At 41.3% G+C, this 20,625-nt stretch overlaps 1 protein-coding gene and 1 pseudogene across 3 annotated transcripts in view; both read right to left on the bottom strand.

Annotated features, from left to right (window-relative positions):
* Positions 1-20,625, bottom strand: part of GOLM2 (golgi membrane protein 2) — a 127,040-nt gene that overhangs the window by 54,531 nt on the left and 51,884 nt on the right. Inside the window, exon 7 of one of the 3 annotated variants that reach the window (NR_157849.2) lies at positions 13,962-15,353. The exons of the other annotated variants lie outside the window; for them this stretch is intronic. The gene's annotated coding sequence lies outside the window, so the exon portion shown is untranslated. The remainder of the gene's footprint in view (positions 1-13,961; positions 15,354-20,625) is intronic. 3 annotated transcript variants of the gene reach the window in all.
* Positions 5,326-6,620, bottom strand: GAPDHP43 (glyceraldehyde 3 phosphate dehydrogenase pseudogene 43; annotated as a pseudogene).

Here is a 20,625-nt window from a genome sequence, read left to right as displayed (position 1 = left end):
CTCTTTTTCCTTCAGTTCTGCTCTGATTTTAGTTATTTCTTGCCTTCTGCTAGCTTTTGAATGTGTTTGCTCTTGCTTTTCTAGTTCTTTTAATTGTGATGTTAGGGTGTCAATTTTGGATCTTTCCTGCTTTCTCTTGTGGGCATTTAGTGCTATAAATTTCCCTCTACACACTGCTTTGAATGTGTCCCAGAGATTCTGGTATGTTGTGTCTTTGTTCTCGTTGGTTTCAAAGAACATCTTTATTTCTGCCTTCATTTCATTATGTACCCAGTAGTCATTCAGGAGCAGGTTGTTCAGTTTCCATGTAGTTGAGCGGTTTTGAGTGAGTTTCTTAATCCTGAGTTCTAGCTTGATTGCACTGTGGTCTGAGAGATAGTTTGTTATAATTTCTGTTCTTTTACATTTGCTGAGGAGAGCTTTACTTCCAACTATGTGGTCAATTTTGGAATAGGTACGGTGTGGTGCTGAAAAAAATGTATATTCTGTTGATTTGGGGTGGAGAGTTCTGTAGATGTCTATTAGGTCCACTTGGTGCAGAGCTGAGTTCAATTCCTGGGTATCCTTGTTGACTTTCTGTCTCGTTGATCTGTCTAATGTTGACAGTCACCCATTAAAGTCACCCATTATTAATGTGTGGGAGTCTAAGTCTCTTTGTAGGTCACTCAGGACTTGCTTTATGAATCTGGGTGCTCCTGTACTGGGTGCATATATATTTAGGATAGTTAGCTCTTCTTGTTGAATCGATCCCTTTACCATTATGTAATGGCCTTCTTTGTCTCTTTTGATCTTTGTTGGTTTAAAGTCTGTTTTATCAGAGACTAGGATTGCAACCCCTGCCTTTTTTTGTTTTCCATTTGCTTGGTAGATCTTTCTCCATGCTTCTATTTTGAGCCTATGTGTGTCTCTGCATGTGAGATGGGTTTCCTGAATACAACACACTGATGGGTCTTGACTCTTTATCCAATTTGCCAGTCTGTGTCTTTTAATTGGAGCATTTAGTCCATTTACATTTAAAGTTAATATTGTTATGTGTGAATTTGAACCTGTCATTATGATGTTAGCTGGTTATTTTGCTCGTTAGTTGATGCAGTTTCTTCCTAGTCTTGATGGTCTTTACATTTTGGCATGATTTTGCAGCGGCTGGTAGTGGTTGTTCCTTTCCATGTTTAGTGCTTCCTTCAGGAGCTCTTTTAGGGCAGGCCTGGTGGTGACAAAATCTCTCAGCATTTGCTTGTCTGTAAAGTATTTTATTTCTCCTTCACTTATGAAGCTTAGTTTGGCTGGATATGAAATTCTGGGTTGAAAATTCTTTTCTTTAAGAATGTTGAATATTGGCCCCCACTCTCTTCTGGCTTATCGAGTTTCTCCCGAGAGATCCGCTGTTAGTCTGATGGGCTTCCCTTTGTGGGTAACCCGACCTTTCTCTCTGGCTGCCCTTAATATTTTTTCCTTCATTTCAACTTTGGTGAATCTGACAATTATGTGTCTTGGAGTTGCTCTTCTCGAGGAGTATCTTTGTGGCATTCTCTGTATTTCCTGAATCTGAATGTTGGCCTGCCTTGCCAGATTGGGGAAGTTCTCCTGGATAATATCCTGCAGAGTGTTTTGCTTGTTTGTTTGTTTGTTTGTTTGTTTTTGAGACGGAGTCTCGCTCTGTTGCCCAGGCTGGAGTGCAGTGGTGCAATCTCAGCTCACTGCAAGCTCTGCCTCCCGGGTTCAACCCATTCTCCTGCCTCAGCCTCCCAAGTAGCTGAGACTACAGGTGCCTGCCACCATGCCTGGCTAATTTTTTTGTATTTTTAGTAGAGACGGGGTTTCACTGTGTTGGCCAGGATGGTCTCGATCTCCTGAACTCGTGATCCGCCCACCTCAGCCTCCCAAAGTGCTGGGATTACAGGCATGAGCCACTGCGCCTGGCCTCTAATTGTTAAGTTTTAAGAGTTCTTTGTATATTTTGCATAGATCTTTTATCAGATATGTCTTTTACAAAATTTTTCTCCCAGTCTTGTCTTCTCTTGACATTTTCACTCACAGAAGTTTCTAAATCTTTTTCTTTATTATTATTATTATTTTTTGAGACAGAGTCTCGCTCTGTCACCCAGGCTGGAGTGCATTGGCGCGATCTCAGCTCACTGCAACCTCCGCCTCCCTGGTTCACGCCATTCTCCTGCCTCAGCCTCCCTAGTAGCTGAGGCGCCCGGCACCACGCCCAGCTAATTTTTTTGTATTTTTAGTGGCGATGGGGTTTCACCATGTTAGCCAGGATGGTCTCGATCTCCTGACCTCGTGATCTGCCTGCCTCAGCCTCCCAAAGTGCTGGCATTACAGGCGTGAGCCACCGTGCCCGGCCAGAAGTTTCTAAATCTTAATGAAGTCCAGCTCATCAATTATTTCTTTCATGGATCGCTACTTTGGTGTTGTATCCAAAAAGTCATTGCCATACCCAAGGTAATCCAGGTTTTCTCTTGTTGTCTTCTAGTTTTATACTTTTGCATTTTCTATTTAGGTCTATGATCTATTTTGAGTTAATTTTTGTGGAGGGTATAACGTCTATGTCTAGATTCATTTTTTAAAAATCTAGTTGTCAGCACCATTTTTTGAAAATACTGTCTACCCCATTGTATTGCCTTTGCTTCTTTGTCAAAGACCAGTTGACTATATTTATGTGTGTCTATCTCTGGACTCTCTGTTCTGTTTCATTGGTCTATTTCTCTGTTTGTTGACCAATACCATACTGTCTTGATTACTGTAGCTCTAATATTAAGTCTCGAGGTCGAGTAGCATCAGTCGTCCAACTTTTGACTTCAATATTGTGTTGGCTATTCTGAATGTTTTGCTTCTCTATATAAACTTTATTTTGTTTTGTTTCTTTGAGACAGAGTCTCGCTCTGTCACCCAGGCTGGAGTGCATGAAGTGCTCTTGGCTCACTGCAACCTCCGCCTCCTGGGTTCAAGTGACTCTCATGCCTTAGCCTTCTGAGTAGCTGGGATTACGGATGTGCGCCACCACACCCAACTAATTTTTGTATTTTCAGTAGAGACAGGGTTTTGCCATGTTGGCCAGGCTGGTCTCAAACTCCTGGCCTCAGGTGATCTGCCTGCCTTGGCCTCCCAAAGTGCTGGGATTACAGGCTTGAGCCATGGTGCCTGGCATGCCTCTCTATATAAACTTTGGAATCAGTTTGTCAATATCCACAAAATAACTTCCTGGGATTTTGACTTGGATCATATCAATCTATAAATCATACTCCGAGGAACTGACATTTTGACAATACTGAGTCTTCCTATCCATGAAACTCAATAGCTCTCCATTTATTTAATTCTTCTTTGATTTCATTCCTTAGAGTTCTGTAGTTTTCCTTATATAGACCTTTCACACATTTTATTAAATTTATACCTAAATAATTGAATTTTGAGAGTACTACTATAAATGGTATTGTATTTTTAATTCCAAATTCTATTTGTTGACTGCTGGTATATGGAAAAGTGATTAACTTTTGTATATTAACCTTATATCCTGCAACCTTTCTATAATCACTTACTAGTTCCAGGAGCGTTTTTGTCAGTTCTCTTGGGTCTTCTACATATAAGATAATGACATCTGTGAACAAAGAGAGTTTTATTTCTTCCTTCCCAATGTGTTTACCTTTTGTTTCCCTTTTTGCCTTATTACACTAGCTAAGACTTCCAGTATAATATTAAAAAGGAGTGGTGAGAAGGCACATCCTTGCCTTGTTCATGATGTTAGGAAAACTTCTAGTTTCTCATCACTAGGTATGTTGTTACTTGTAGATTTTTTTGTAGATATTCTGTATCAAGTTGAGAAAGTTTCCCTGTATTCCTAGTTAACTGTGTTTTTATCATGAATGAGTTTTGGATTTTGCCAAATGCTTTTTCTGTATTCACTGATATAATCATGTGATTTTTTTTTTAGCCTGCTAATACGATGAATTATGTTACTTGATTTTTTAATATTAAACCAGATTTGCATACCTGGGATAAATCCCACTTGCTTGTGATACACTTTTTTCTTTTTCTTTTTTTTGGGGGGCGGGTGGTGGTGGGGACAGGGTCTTGCTGTCACCTAGGCAATGATGTGATCTTGGCTTACTGCAGCCTCCATCTCCTGGGCTCAAGCAATCCTCCCATCTCAACCTCCTGAGTAGCTGGGACCACAGGGGTGTGCCACCACACCTGGCTAGTTTTTGTATTTTTTTATAGAGATGGGTTTTTGCCATGTTGCTCAGACTGGTCTTGAACTCCTGAGCTCAAGCAATTTGCCCACCTTGGCCTCCCAAAGTGCTAGGATTACAGGCATGAGCCACTGTGCCTGGCCTATAATTCTTGTATACATTGTTGAATTCAACTTGCTAATATTTCATTGAGAATTTTTGCATATAAGATCAAGAGAGATATTGGTCTGTAGTTTTGTCTCATCTAAGATCATGAGAGACATTGGTCTGTAGTAGTGTCTTTCTCTGGTTTTGGTACTGGCATAACAATGGCATCATAGAATGAATTAGGAAGTATTCCCTCTGCTTCTATCTTCTGAAAGAGACTGTAGATAAGGGGTATAGTTTCTTCTTAAATATTTGGTAGAATTCACCGGCAAACCCATCTGTACCTGGTGCTTCCTGCTTTGGAAGGTTATTATTGATTCAATTTATTTAATACATATAAACCTGTTCAGATTATCTTTTTGTAGAGCTGGCAGACTGTGTCTATCAAGGAAGTGGTCTAGTTCATCTAGGTTATCAAATTGGTAGGCACAGAGTTGTTCATAGTATTCCTTTATTTTCCTTTTAATGTCCATGGGATCTGTAGTGATAACCCTCTTTCATTTCTGACAGAAGTAATCTGTGTCCTCTCTCTTTTTCTCTTAGCCTTGCTAGAGGCTTATGCATTTTTATTAATACTGTCAAAGAACCAGCTATTGGTTTCATTGATTTTCTCTAATGATTTCCTGTTTTTAATTTTATTGACTTCTGTTCTAATTTTTTATTATGTCTTTTATTTTGCTTACTTTGGATTTAATTTGCCTTTTTTTTTTCAATTTCCTAAGGTGGAAACTTAAATGACTGATTTTAGACCTTTCTACTTTTCTAACATATGCATTCACTGCTATACATTTCCCTCTAAGCATGACTTTCACTGCATCCTATAAATTTTGATAAGTAGTGTTTTCATTTTCATTTAGTTCAAAATATTTTTAAATTTCTCCTGAGATTTCTTCTTTGATCCATGCATTATTCAGAAATAGTTGTTTAATCTCCACATATTTTGGGATTTTCCAGTTATCTTTCTATTATTTTATTTTATTTTTGGCTGAGTACAGAAGACTTTATTGACGGTACATGACAAGGTGGGGGCTCTCTAGACCCCTCCCATTCTTCAGGGGATATGGCATGAAAACTGTGGTGGAGGGGAGCTTCTTGGTGTGGTGGGGGACGGAGTGAGGCAGGGACTCCTCAGCAGCTGAGAGCCTCTCTTTTTCTCTCGTGCTCTCACTAGGGCTGGTAGTCCGGAGGGCTGTTATTCCTTGGAGGCCATGTGGACCATGAGGTCCACCACCCCGTTGCTGTAGCAAAACTAATTGTCATACCAGGAAATTAACTTCACAAAATGGTTGCTGAGGGCAATGCTAGCCCCAGAATTAAAAGTGGAAGAGGGAGTGTCACCGTTAAAGTCACAGGGGACAACTTGGTGTTCAGTGTAGCCCAGTGTGCCCTCGAAGGGCCTTCCGATGCCTGCTTCACCATCTTCTTGAAGCCATCATATTTGGCAGGTTACTCCAGACAGCAGGTCAGGTCCACAACTGACACATTGGTGGTAGGGACGAGGAAGGCCATGCCAGTGATCTCCCCATTCAGCTCAGGGATGTCCTTGCCCACAGCCATGGAAGTTCCAGTAGATGCAGGAATAATGTTCTGCAGAGCTCCACAACCATGACGTCACAGTTTCCCAGAAAAGCCATCCATAGGTCTCCTGGGTGGCAGTGATAGCAGGGACTGTGGTCAGGAGTCCCTCCATGATGCCAGAGCTATCATGGATGATCTTGGTCAGAGAATGCTAAGCAGTTGGTGGTGCAGGAGGCAATGCTGATGATTGTGAGGTTGCTTTCGTACTTCTCATGGTTCATGCCCATCAAACAGGGGGTCAAAGGCAGCAGAGATGATGACTCTTTGGCTCTCTCCTCTAAGTGTGCCCCAGCCATATACAAGATAGTGAAGACACCAGTTGACTCCACAACACAACCAGTGCCAGCATCACTGCATTTGATTTTGGTGGTATCTTGCTCCTGGAAGATGGAGATAGGATTTCCACTGATGACAAACTTGTGATTCTCAGCCTTGACAGTGCTGTGGAGCTTGCCACTGGTGGAATCATACTGGAACATGTAGACCATGTAGCTGGAGTCAGTGAAGGGGTCACTGATGATGACAATATCCACTTTGCCAGAGTTAAAAGCAGCCCAGTTGACCAGATGCCCAGTACAGCCAAATGTGTTTACTACAACCTTCAATTTCACCAACTGTCTCAGGGACATGGCTGCTGCTGCATGGCTGCTGCTGCATGGCTGCTGCTGTGTCCTTTATCACACAGAAGGAACAGAGAGCCTATCTTTCTCTATTGATTTTCAGTTTAATTCCACTGAGGTCTGAGAGTAGACATTATGTGATTAATATTTTTTAAAATCTGTTTTATAAGTATTTTTTTGTGTGTGGTTGCTGTCTCATTTTATTTTATTTTATTTATTTATTTTTATTTTATTATTATTATACTTTAAGTTTTAGGGTATATGTGCACAACGTGCAGGTTTGTTACATATGTATACATGTGCCATGTTGGTGTGCTGCACCCATTAACTTGTCATTTAGCATTAGGTATATCTCCTAATGCTATCCCTCCCCCCTCCCCCCACTACACAACAGGCCCTGGTGTGTGATGTTCCCCTTCCTGTGTCCATGTGTTCTCATTGTTCAATTCCCGTTTTATGGTCTATCTTGGTGAGTGTTCTGTGACAGCTTGAGAAGAATGAGTCCCTGCTGTTGTTGGATGAAGTGGTTAATAGATGTCAATTACATACAGTGGATTAATACTAATTACCTATAATTTTTTGAGGAAATGCATTACTTACATTTTCTTCTTCTAATTTTTGTGGGTACATGGTAGGTGTATATATTTATGAGGTACAGGAGATATTCTGATACAGGCATACAACGTGTAATAATCACACCAGGGTAAATGGGGCATCCATCACCTCAAGCATTATCTTTTGTGTTAAAACCCAATTATACTCTTTCAGGTGTTTAAAAACATAGAATTAAACTATTATTTAGTCACTCTGCTGTTCTATCAAATACCAGACCTTGTTCATTCTTTCTATTTTTTGTACCAATTAACCATCCCCACTTCCCCCTTACCCTTCCCCAATAAGCTTCACAGCCTCTGGTAACCATTATTCTACTCTCTATTCCCATGAGTTCAACTATTTTAATTTTTAGTTCCCACCACAAATAAGTGAGGATACGTGAAGTTTGTCTTTCTGTGTCTGGCTTATTTCACCTAACATAATGACCATAGTTCCATCCATGTTGTTACAAATGACAGGATCTCATTCTTTTTTAAGGCTAAATAGTACTCCAATGTGTATATATACCACATTTTCCTTATCCATCATCTGCTGATGAGCACTTAGGTTGCTTCCAAATCCTGGCTACTGCGAATAGTGCAATAAACAAGAGAGTGCAAATATCTCTTTAATATACTGATTTCCTTTCTATATATATATTTTTCTGCATATGAATGCCAGGTCATATCCTTTCTCTTAAGTACATACCTAGCAGTGGAATGGCTAGATCATATGGTAGCTCTATTTTTAGTTTCTTGAGGAACTCCAAACTGTTCTTCATAGTGGCTGAACTAATTCACATTCCCACCAATGGTGTATGAGGGTTCGCTTTTCTCCATATCCTTGTTAGCATTTGTTATTGCCTGTCTTTTGGATACAATCCATTTTAAACAGGCTAAAGTCATATCTCATTATAGTTTTGATTTATGGTTCTTTGATGACCAATGATATTGAGCACTTTTTCATATATCTGCTTTGCCATTTGTACGTCTTCTTTTGACATATGTCTATTCAGACCTTTTGTCTATTTTCTAACTGAATTATAAGATTTTTTTTCTTATATGGTTGTTTGAGCTCCTTATATAGTCTGATTATTTATCTCTTGTCAGATAGATAGTTTGCAAATATCTTCTCCCATTCTGTGGGTTGCCTCTTCACTTTTCTTTTCTTTTCTTTTTTTTTTTTTGAGATGGAGTTTTGCTCTTATTGCCCAGGCTGGACTAAAATGGCGCGATCTGGGCTCACTGCAACCTCTGCCTCCCAGGTCCAAGCGATTCTCCTGCCTCAGCCTCCTGAGTAGTTGGGATTACAGGTGCCTGCCACTATGCCCAGGTAATTTTTGTATTTTTAGTAGAGACGGGGTTTCACCATGTTGGCCAGGCTGGTCTCGAACTTCTGACCTCAGGTGATCTGCCGGCCTCCCAAAGTACTAGGATTAAAGGTGTCAGCCACTGCACCTGGCTACTCTTCACTTTTCTGATTGTTTCCTCTGTTGTGCAGAGCTTTTTTAACTTGATGTCATCCCATCCGTCCATCTTTTCTTTGGTTGCCTGTGTTTGTGGGGTTTTACTCAAGAAATCTTTGCCCAGTCTGATGTCCCAGGGAGTTTCCCCAATGTTGTTTTTAGTAGTTTCATAGTTCAGGTCTTAGATTTGAGTCGTAAATTCATTTTGATATGGCTTTTGTATGTGGTGAGAGACAGGGAGCTAGTTTCGATCTTCTGTGTATGGATATTCAGCTTCCCCAGCACCATCTAATGAAGAGACTGTCCTTTCCCCAGTGCATATTCTTGGCACCTTTGTCAAAAATGAGTTCACTGTAGATGTATGAACTGTTTCTAGGTTCTCTATTCTGTTTCATTGGTCTATGTGTCTGTTTTTATGCCAGTACCATGCTGTTTTGGTTACTACGGCTCTGTAGTATAATTTGAAGTCAGGTTATGTGATTCCTCCTATTTTGTTCTTTTTTCTCAGGATAGCTTTGGCTATTCTAGGCCTTTTATGATTTCATATAAATTTTAGGATTGTTTTTTCCATTTCTGGGAAGAATGTCATATTTTGATAGGGATTGCATTGAATCTGTGACTGCTTTGGGTAGTATGAACATTTTAACAATATTGATTCTTCCAATCTATGAACATGGAATATCTTTCCTTTTTGTGTGTGTGTCCTCTTCAATTTCTTTCACCAATGTTTTACAGTTTTCATTGTAAAGATCTTTCATTTCTTTGGTAAAGTTAATTCCTAGGTATTTTATTTGTAGCTATTGTAAATGGGATTATGTTCCTGATTTCTTTTTCAGATTATTCGCTGTTGGCATATAGAAATGCTACTGATTTCTGTATGTTGATTTAGTATGCTGCAACTTTACTGAATTTATCAGTTCTAATAGTTTTTTGGTGGAGTCTTTAGGTTTTTCCAAATATAACATCACCTGCAAACAAGGATAATTTGACTTCTTCCTTTCCGATTTTGATGTTCTTTGTTTGTCTGTGTTTTTTTTTTTTTTTTTTTTTTGAGACAGAGTCTTGCTTTGTTGCCCAGGCTGGAGTGTAGCGGCGCAATCTCAGCTCACTGCAAGCTGTGCCTCCCGGGTTCACGCCATTCTCCTGCCTCATCCTCCTGAGTAGCTGGGACTATAGGCACCCGCCACCACGCCCGGCTAATTTTTTGTTATTTTTAGTAGAGACGGGGCTTCACCATGTTAGCCAGGATGGTCTCTATCTCCTGACCTCGTGATCCACCCAACTCGGCCTCCCAAAGTGCTGGGATTACAGGCGTGAGCCACCACACCTGGCCACCTTTCTTTCTTTCGTCTGATTGCTCTAGCTAGGACTTCCAGTACTAGGTTAAATAGCAGTGCTTAAAGTGGGAATCCTTTCACCTTCCTTTCTGATTTGGATGTCCTTTATTTCTTTCTCTTTTCTTATTGCTCTAGCTAGGTCTTCCAGTACTAGTACTGGAAGTCTAGGTCAAATAACAGTACTAGATCAAATGACAGTGGTGAAAGTGGGCATCCACTTCGTGTTCTAGATCTTAGAGAAAAGGCTTTCAGTTTTCCCTCTTCAGTATGATACTAGCTGTGGGTCTGCCACATATGGCTTTTATTATGTTGAGGTATGTTCTTCTTTCTACATCCAGTTTTTTGAGGATTTTTATCATGAAGAGATGTTAAATTTTATCAGATGCTTTCTCAGCATCAATTGAAATGACCATATGGTTTCTGTCCTTCATTCTGTTGATACGACATACCACATTAATTGAGTCATGTATACTGAAGCATCCTTTCATCCCTGGGATAAAACCCACTTGTTCAATGATACATGATCTTTTTAATATGTTCCTTAATTCGGTTTGATAGTGTTTTGTTAAGGATTTTTGCACCAATGTCCATCAGAGATATTGGTCTGTGGTTTTCTTTTTCCTTGATGTGTCTTTAACTGGTGTTGGTATCAGGCTATTACTCGTCTCCTAGAATGAGTTTGGAAGTATTCCCTCCTCCTCTATTTTTCAGAATAGTCTCAATAGGATTGGTTTTAGTTTTTCTTTAAGTGTTTGGTAGAGTTCAACAGTGAAGCCATTGGGTCCCGGGCTTTTCTTTGCTGGAAGACTTTTTATTACAGCTTCAACTTGTTACTTGTTGTCAGTCTGTTCAAGTTTTATATTACCTCATGGTTCTATCTTAGTAGACTGTATGTGTCTAGGAATTTAACCCTTTCTTCTAGGTTTTCCAAATTACTGGCATATAGTTGCTCATAGTACCCTCTAGTGATCCTTTGAATTTCTGCAGTATCTATTGCAATATCTCCTTTTTCATTTCTGACTTTATTTGGGTCTTCTTTTTTTCTTAGTCTGGCTAAAAGTTTGTCAGTTTTATGTTTTCAAAACACCAACTTTTTCTTTCCTTGATCTTTTGTATTGTTTTCTTCATTTCAATTTCATTTATGTCTGCTCTGATCTTTATTTTTCCTTCTACTAACATTAGGTTTGGTTTACTCTTGCTTTTCTAGTTCTTTAGGATGCATTGTTAGGTTGTTTATTTGAAGTTTTTCTTCTTTTTTGATGTAGGAGCTTATAGCTATAAACTTCCCTCTTAGTTCTGCTTTCGCTGTATCCCACAGGATTTGGTATATTGTGTTTCCATTATGTTTGTTTCAAGATATTTTTCAATTTCCTTCTTAATCTCTTCATCGACCCACTAGTGACTCAGGAGCATATTGTTTAATTTCCATGTGTTTGTATAGTTCCCAAAATGCCTCTTGTTATTGATTTATAATTTTATTCCATTGTGGTTCAGAGAAGATACTTGATATAACGTCAATTTTTTGAATGTTTTAAGACTTGTTTGGTGGTCTAACATATGGCCTCTACCCTTGAGAATGATGCATGTACTGAGGAGAAGAATGTGTATTCTGCAGCCACTGGATGAAATGTTCTGTAAATATCTATTAGGTCCATTTGGTCTATAGTGTAGATGAAGTCTGATGTTTCTTTGTTGATTTTCTGTCTGGATGATCTGTCCAATGCTGAAAGTGGGGTGTTGAAGTCTTCAGCTATTATTGTATTGAAATTTATCTTTCTCTTTAGCTCTAATATTTGCTTTATGTATCAGGGTGTTCCAATGCTGGGTGCATATATATGTATAACTGTTATATCCCATTGCTGAATTGACCCTTTTATATATAATGACCTTCTTTGTCTCTTAGTTTTTGTCCTGAAATCCATTTTGTTTAAGCATAGCTACTTCTGCTCTTTTTTTTGGTTTCTACTTGCATGGAACATCTTTTCTCATCCCTTTATTTTCAGTCTTTGTGTGGTTTTTTTTTTTTTTTTTGAGACGGAGTTTCACTCTTGTTGCCCAGGCTGTAGTGCAATGGCGCGATCTCAGCTCACCGCAACCTCTGCATCCCGGGTTCAAGCGATTCTCCTGCCTCAGCCTCCCGAGTAGCTGGGATTACAGGCATGCACCACCACGTCCCACTAATTTTGTATTTTTAGTAGAGACGGGGTTTCTCCATGTTGGTCAGGCTGGTCTCAAACTCCCGACCTCAGGTGATCCGCCTGCCTTTGCCTCCCAAAGTGCTGGGATTACAGGTGTGAGCCACTGCACCCGGCCTATGTGTGTCTTTACAGGTGAGTGTGTTTCTTGTAGGCAACAGATTGTTGGGTCTTAATTTTTTTTTTTCTTTTTTTGAGACAAGGTCTTGCTCTGGTGCCCAAGCTGGAGTGCAATGGCATGATCTCAGCTCACTGCAGCCTCAATCTCCCAGGCTCAAGTGATCTTCCCACCTCAGCTTCTGGAGTAGCTGGGACTATAGGCATGTACCACTGTGGCACCACCATTAGAACTGTGCTGGGTTAGACCTGAAGCCAATACAGCACTGGGTCTTACCAAGGCCTGCTGTAACCACTACCTGGCTACCACATATGTTTGCTCAAGGCCCTAGAGCTCCACAATCAGCAGATGATGAAGCCAGCTGGGCTTGTGTCCTTCCTTTCAGGGTGGCAAATTCCCCCAGCAGGTTCAGAGATGATGTCTGGGAACCAGGGCCTAGAATTGGAAATGTCAGAAATCTACCTGGTATTCTTTCTACTGCAGTAAGTTTGGCACCAAAACAGAGTCTCAGTCTCTCCCTGTGTCCACCACTACCACAGGCCCATGGGGAGTACTGTGGCCTCCCATGGGGAGGCCAGGGTATCGACAGTGTTCACTTAAGGCCCAAGGGCTCTTCAGTCATCTTGTGAACACTCAGGCCTGGGACTCACCCTTCAGAGCAACAGGCTCCCTTCTAGCATAGTGTAGGTCCAGAACTACCATCCAGGAGCTAAGGCCTGGAATTAGGGACCCTAAGAGCCCATTTGGTACTCTTCCCAACTATGACCAAGTTCAAATCTACACTGCAAGACCTAATCTCCTTTATTCTTCCCTCTCCTTTTGTTAAGCAGAGTCTTTACTTGCAGTCGCTACTGCTGGGTCATACCTGAAGCCAGCATGTCTCAGAGTCTCACTCAAGGCCATGGCATCTCCTATCTGGTTACCAGTGCTGATTATTCAGGGCCCAAGGGCTCTTTAGTTAGCAGGTGATGAATCTTGCCAGGTCTAGGTCCTTCCCTTCAAGGCAGGAGGTTCCCTTCTGGCGCTGACTGTGTCTAGACACTATAGGCATCTAGGGCCTGGAATAGGGGTCTCACAACTCTACTTGGTACCCTAGATGCCTGTGGCTGAGCTGGTATTCAAGTTGCAAAATGAAGTCCTCTTTACTCTTCCCTTTCCTGTCCGCAAACAGAAGGAAGGGGTCTCTTTTGTACTGGCAAGATGCACTGGCTGGCACTGTGTGGAAGGGGTGACACAAGCACTTCCTTAGTCACCCTGGCTGCTGTCTCACTAGGTTGTGTGCCCCCGCAAGACCACTGGCTCTGATCCCAGCACTACTCTAGTACTTGCCTGGGGGTTGCAGTCCTTCTAGCCTAGACTGCTTTTCTAGTTCATTTAAGACCCCAAAGCACTCTAGCTCGCGGTGGCAAGGCTAGCCAAACTCAAGTTCTGCCTGCTGGGAGAGAAAATTTCCCCTCTGACTAGGGTTAGTCCACAGGCTTCCTCTGTGGGCATTGGCTGAGTTCTGCTCAGTGTTGGCAGCACTAAGTTCCAGTGCAAAGTCTCACAATTACTGCACTCTCACTCCTGGAAGTGTATAGATTCTCTCTCCATGCCACAAGGCCACTGCAGGGGTTGGGGGGTGGTGTCTTCAATTCAAGACTGTCTTTCCTACTCCTTCCATGCCCCTTTTAACAATATTAAGTTAAAACCAGGTACTGTGATTGCTCACCTGATTTTTGGCTCTCATGAAGGTACTTTTCTGTGTAGACAGTTGTCAAATTTGGTGCTACTGCAGGGAGGACAATCAGTGGAGGCTTCTATTCAGTTATCTCACTCTGCCTCCTCTCTCTCTCTCTCTCTCTCTTTTTTGTTTAGACAGGGTCTCTCTCTGTCACCCAGACTGGAGTACAGTGGTGCAATCACAGTTCACTGCAATCTCGAACTCCTGGGCTCATGTGATCCTCCCACCTCAGCTTCCCAAGTAGCTAGGACTACAGGTGTGTGCCACTATGCCTAGCCATTTTTTTTTTTCCTAAGATATGAGGTCTTGTTATGTTGCCCAAGCCTCGAACTCCTGGCCTCAAGCAATCCTCTTGCCTAGGCTTCCCAAAGTGTTGGGATTACAGGCGTAAGCCACTACACCTAGCCTCTCTTTAATTTTTTTAAATAATGATTTTTTTGAATAGGTAGTTTATTAGTATTATACAAAAATTTAAAAGTTCAGAAGATTATATAATGAAAAGCAAGTCACCTTTTCATCCCTGTCCTAATCTTCTTCCCCATAAAACCACTATTACTGGTTTCAATCTAGAGCAGTACTGTCCAACAGAACTTTCTACAATAATGAAAATGTTCTGCATTGGTGCTGTCCAACACAGTTGCCTTTAGCCACAGGTAACTACTAAGTAAGCACTTTAAGTGTAGCTAGTTTGACTAAGAAACTGAATTTAATTTCACCTAAATGTAATGAATTTAAATGTAAATAGCCACATGTGACCAATGGCTACTGCATTAATACAGTATAGATCTAGAGAATCTGTCTAGAGTAAAGGTTTTTCTGCCTTAGCTACATAATGTAATCACCTAGTGACCATTTAAACCTTCAATGCCCAAGTCAAACCCCAGAACAAATATAACAAAATCTCTGGAATGGAATTTAGGCATCAGTATCTTTTTTTTTTTCAAGCTCCCCAGAGATTCCAATATGCAACCACCATTCGAAGCCTCTGTTCTAGAAAATCTGTTATCTTACAAATAGATTACCTCTACCTAATATTTAAAAACTAAAAGCCTGGCCAGGTGCTGCGGCTCACACCTGTAATCCCAGAACTTTGGGAGGCCGAGGCGGGTGGATCACCTGAGGTCAGGAGTTCAAGACCAGCCTGGCCAACATGGTGAAACCCCATCTCTACTAAAAATACAAAAAATTAGCCAGGCATGGTGGCAGGCGCCTGTAATCTCAGCTACTTGGGAGGCTGAGACAGAAGAATTGCTTGAACCCAGGAGGCGCAGGTTGCAGTGAGCCAAGATCACGCTACTATACTTCAGCCTGGACAACAGAGCGAGACTCTGTCACACACACACACACACACACACAAAACCTAAAAGCTTTTCCTGGATGCTGTTGATAGAAAATAAAAATAAAAATAAAGAAAAATAAGAACCAAGGGAGTAATTTTTTTCTTTCCAAGTTATTAATTAGGAAAATAACTTTCAATTGCTCAGGTACTTAAATATCTTTATACCTATAGAGGGTTTCCCCCAAAGTAAGTCAGTAGGGGTAATTTTTACATTTTTACTGGGACTGATTGGATTTTTAAAGCTAAAAAAGAGTTTCCAAGAAAGAAATACGATTTTCCTCTTTGTTTATAGGTATAATACAGAGAAGATATTTGCATTGCATACTGTTAAAGAACTCCTAAATATCAAGAAGAAAGGCTGGGCACAGTGCCTTACACCTGTAATCCTAGCACTTTGGGAGGCCGAGGCGGACGGATTACCTGAGCTCAGGAGTTCGAGACCAGCCTGGGCAATACAGTTGAAACCCCGTCTCTACTAAAATACAAAAAATTAGCTGGGCGTGGTGGCGGGCACCTGTAGTCCCAGCTACTCAGAGGCTGGCATGAACCCGGGAGGCGGAGCTTGCCGTGAGCCGAGATCGTGCCACTGCACTCCAGCCTGGGCGACACAGCGAGACTCTGTCTCAAAAAAAAAAAAAATTAGCTGGATGTGGTGGCGGGCACCTGTAATCCCAGCTACTCAGGAGGCTGAGGCAGGAGAATTGCTTGAACCTGGGAGGCGGCAGTTGCAGTGAGCTGAGATCGCACCATTGCACTCCAGCCTTGGCTACAAGAGCGAAACTCCATCTCAAAAAATAAAAAAATAGGCCAGGCGCGGTGGCTCACGCCTGTAATTCCAGCACTTTGGGAGGCCGAGGCAGGCGGATCACGAGGTCAGGAGATCGAGACCATCCTGGCTAACATGGTGAAACCCCGTCTGTATTAAAAAAAAAAAAGAAAAAATTAGCCAGGCATGGTGGCGGGTGCCTGTAGTCCCAGCTACTTGTGGCGGGTGCCTGTAGTCCCAGCTACTCAGGAGGCTGAGGCAAGAGAATGGCGCGAACCCAGGAGGCAGAGCTTGCAGTGAGCCAAGATTGCGCCACTGCACTCCAGCCTGGGCGACAGAACGAGACTCCGACTCAAAAAAAAAAAAAAATTAATTAAATAAATAAATAAATAAGTTTTGCATGTGGTGGCACAAGCCTGTAATCGCAGCCCCTCTAGAAGGTAAGGCAGAAGGATTGCTTGGGTCTAGGAGTTTGAGGCTGCAGTAAGCTATGACCATGCCACTGTACTCTAGCCTGGATGACAGAATAAGATCCTGTCTCTAAAAATAAAAAATAATAAATAACAAAAAGATTTTAAAAGTTTAAAAACTACTGATATAAATATGTAACTGCCTAACATTACAGTTATCTAAATCAGCATATAGGTAAGTATCCAGGTCAAGAAGGTAATTCATTAAATCATAAAGTTCCTGTAAAGTCTTGGCGATTAGTTCCAAATCAAGCATTAAAAACAAACAAAACCCAGTAAGGGTTCACTGTATGGCTTTGGGAGCTGAGAAGCTGAAACAAAATGCTAACCCTAGGCACATGCTCTATAACCCTTGACTATTTCAGAGGTATATATATATATATATATATATACACACACATATACATTTTTTTTTTTTTTTGAGACAGGGTCTCGCTCTGACACCAGGCTGGAGTGCAGTGGTGTGATCTCTGCTCACTGAAGCCTCCGCCTCCTGGGCTCAAGCAGTTCTCTCACTTTAGCCTCCTGAGTAGCTGAGACTACAGGCGTGTGCCACCATGACTGGCTAATTTTTCTATTTCTTGTAGACACAGGGTTTCATCATGTTGCTCAGGCTGGTCTCAAACTCCTGGGTTCAAGCGACCCTCCCGCCTCAGCCTATCCAGCTGTAATCTCAGCTAAGATTACAGACGTGAGCCACTGTGCCCGGCCTCAGAGGTATATTTAAAGATAGTTTCCCATTGCTCTACCATAATTTCTAGTATGGTCCTAGCTATCTTAAACAAAACTGTCAGTATATATAACAGTCCATTTTTAAATTACAAGGATATATATTTTTTTCTTTTTTTTTTTTTTTGAGACAGAGTCTCACTCTGTTGTTCAGGCTGGAGTGTAGTGGCGCGATCTCAGTTCACTGCAGCTCTGCCTCCTGGGCTCAAGGGATTCTCCTGCCTCAGCCTCCCAAGTAGCTGGAATTACAGGTGTGTGCCACCATGCCCAGCTAATTTTGTATTTTTAGTACAGACGGGGTTTCACCATGTTGGCCAGGCTGGTCTCAAACTCCTGGCCTCAAGTGATCCGCCCGCCTCAGCCTCCTAAAGTGCTGGGATTACAGGTATGAGCCACTATGCCCAGCCAGGATATGTTCTTTTCTCTGCTTCCTCTTTGGGGTTACTGCCTCTATAGCTAATAGGACACCACATATACACCAGAACTTACATTGACATTAAGAATTTTGGCATACTCTACTTCAGGAAGAAAAGACAAAACTGAGAAAAAGGAGTGGCAAAGAGATTAAAAATGGGGCTACAATTACATGAAATAATAATAACAACAACAACTAAGTTGGTTTTTTTTTTTTTTTCTGTCTTCCAGGTTGGAGTGCAGAGGCATGATCTTCGCTCACTGCAACCTCTGCCTTCTGGATTCTAGCGATTCTCCTGCCTCAGCCTCCCGAGTAGCTGGGATTACAGGTGCCCACCACCACACCCAGCTAATTTTTGTATTTTTAGCAGAGATGGGGTTTCACCATGTTGGCCAGGGGGTCTTGAACTCCTGACCTCAAGTGATCTGCCTGCCTCAGCCTCCCAAAGTGCTGAGATTACAGGCATGAGCCACTGCACCCGGCCAATAGAAACTAAGATATATATAGCACTTGCTATGTGCCAGGCACTGTTCTAAGTGTTTTACATTTAAATTTCACAACATTCCTGTCAGGCTGGAATTGTTATTATTCTATTTTACATATAAGGGCAAAAAATTGTCACATAATTGTTAAAAGATAAGAGCCAAAGGTTTGAATCTAGGCAATTTGACTCCAGAGACCATTGTCTCACCATTAAAGATAGCCTGATAATTCAACCATACACATTTACTGGGACCCTGCTATATGCAAGGCAGCATGTAGGGAGCTCCAGATACAAAGATATGAAATGGCTTTCCTTCGTGTTTGCATCCGAATGATCACAGAGCTCAAAGTTTCCTTCTACCAGTTACCATTTCAAAATAATCTTTACACTCAAAATACTTCCTCAAATAATTAAGGATAATTGCTATGAAAAATGATTATCAAAGCAAAGCACCAATAGTTTAAAGAGCTTCAAATATTAATCCAGGCCAGGCATGGTGGCTCACACCTGTAGTTGCAGTGCTTTGGGAGGCTAAGGTGGGAGGACTGCTTGAGCCTAGGAGTTTGAGACCAGCCTGGATAACATAACGACACCCTGTCTCTACAAACAACAACAATAAAATTAGCTGGATGTGGTGGCACATGCCTGTAGTCCCAGCTACTCGGGAGCCGATGTGGGAGTACCACTTGAGCCCAGGAGGTCAAGGCTGCAGTGAGCCATGATCATGCCACTGCACTCCAGCCTAGGTGACAGAGCAAGACCCTGTCCCAAAAAATATAAATAAATAAAAATAAAAGTAAAAAAAAAAACAATCCAGAGGAAGGCCTTTAATATGCCATGACAATGTAGAAAATGTCTGCATATGGTGACATTTTTTACATTAACGATCAATTTACACAAAATGTTAATACACGTGGTGTTTTTCCCAGTTCCAAATTATAGTGCTGCAACCATGTAAGTTGCATATGGCAAGTTCACATTGTAAAAATCAGATATGAATTTGTTGGCATCTCATCAAAAGTAGCGCTATTCATTCTTATAAAATCTAATAAAATTGGCCAGGCGCGGTGGCTCACGCCTGTAATCCCAGCACTTTGGGAGGCTGAGGCAGGTGGATCACGAGGTCAGGAGTTCAGGATCAGCCTGACCAAGATAGTGAAACCCCGTCTCTACTAAAAATACAAAAAAAATTAGCCGGGCGTGGTGGTGGGCGCTGTAATCCCAGCTACTCAGGAGGCTGAGGCAGAGAACTGCTTAAACCCGGGAGGCCGAGGATGCAGTGAGCCAAGATCGCACGACTGCACTCCAGGCTGGACGACAGAGTGAAACTCGGTCTCAAAAAAAAAAAAAAAAAAAAAAATCTAATAAAATTGTTGTGTACTTTTTAAAAATTATTATTAAGAAAGCAGAAGCGGCAAGATAAGATTTCTATCCTGCTGGAGTGGTTCATATATGAAAGACATTTGAAAACCACTGTCTGATAGGACAATATACCTAATAATGGTCAAGACAAGATCTCTAAGATCTCTTGTATTCCCATTTCATTTTACCCTAAACACTGGAATTTCCTGGTGGCTGGGTAATAAATTATGACCAATGAGAAAATAAATGGAGACATTACACATTTAGAGTAATAATGATAAAATTTTAACTTGAAAAGTATGTGGAAATATGCCAGGCGTGGTGGCTCACGCCTGTAATCCCAGCACTTTGGGAGGCTGAGGCAGGCGGATCACAAGGTTGGGAGATCGAGACCATCCTGGCTAACATGGTGAAACCCCGTCTCTGCTAGAAATACAAAAAATTAGCTGGACGTGGTGGTGGGCATCTGTAGTCCCAGCTACTCGGGAGGCTGAGGCAGGAGAATGGCATGAACCTGGGAGGCAAAGCTTGCAGTGAGCCAAGATCGCATCACTGCACTCCAGCCTGGGCTACAGAGTGAGACTCTGTCTCAAAAAAAAAAAAAAAAAAAGAGAAAAGTATGTGGAAATAAATAATAGAGGTCAAAAATTATATATATTTAAACACAAATAATACATTTTTCAGGTATATTACATGAAAAATTAATGTATGCAGGTAGCCAACTGTTGCTCATATCTGAATAGAGTGCTTCTATGTATCAGAAACCAGCAGTATGTCCTTGACAAAACTTTGGGTATAGTTTTTAAAATACACAACCGCAATGTAAAATAGATTAATCAACCTAAAACTCAACTGTGCCTAGGACTAGAGTAAGTGCTACAAAAATTTGGAAGAATACAGAGTTCCTGCTCTGAACATTTCTTTAAATTAACATCTAAGTCAGTGGTTCTCAAATTTTAGCATAGATCAAAATCACTAGGAGAGCTTTTTAAAACAAATTGCTGGGCTCCATTCCAAAATTTCTGATTAAGTAGGTCTGGAATGAGACCTAAGAATTTGCATGTCTAACAGGTTCCTGGGTAATGCT

The sequence above is a fragment of the Homo sapiens genome, chromosome 15 (assembly GCF_000001405.40).
Source record: "Homo sapiens chromosome 15, GRCh38.p14 Primary Assembly".
In the NCBI taxonomy this organism is placed as follows: domain Eukaryota; kingdom Metazoa; phylum Chordata; class Mammalia; order Primates; family Hominidae; genus Homo; species Homo sapiens.
The sequence above is the reverse complement of the archived record's forward strand: the minus strand, read 5'-3'. Positions and strand labels throughout refer to the sequence as shown.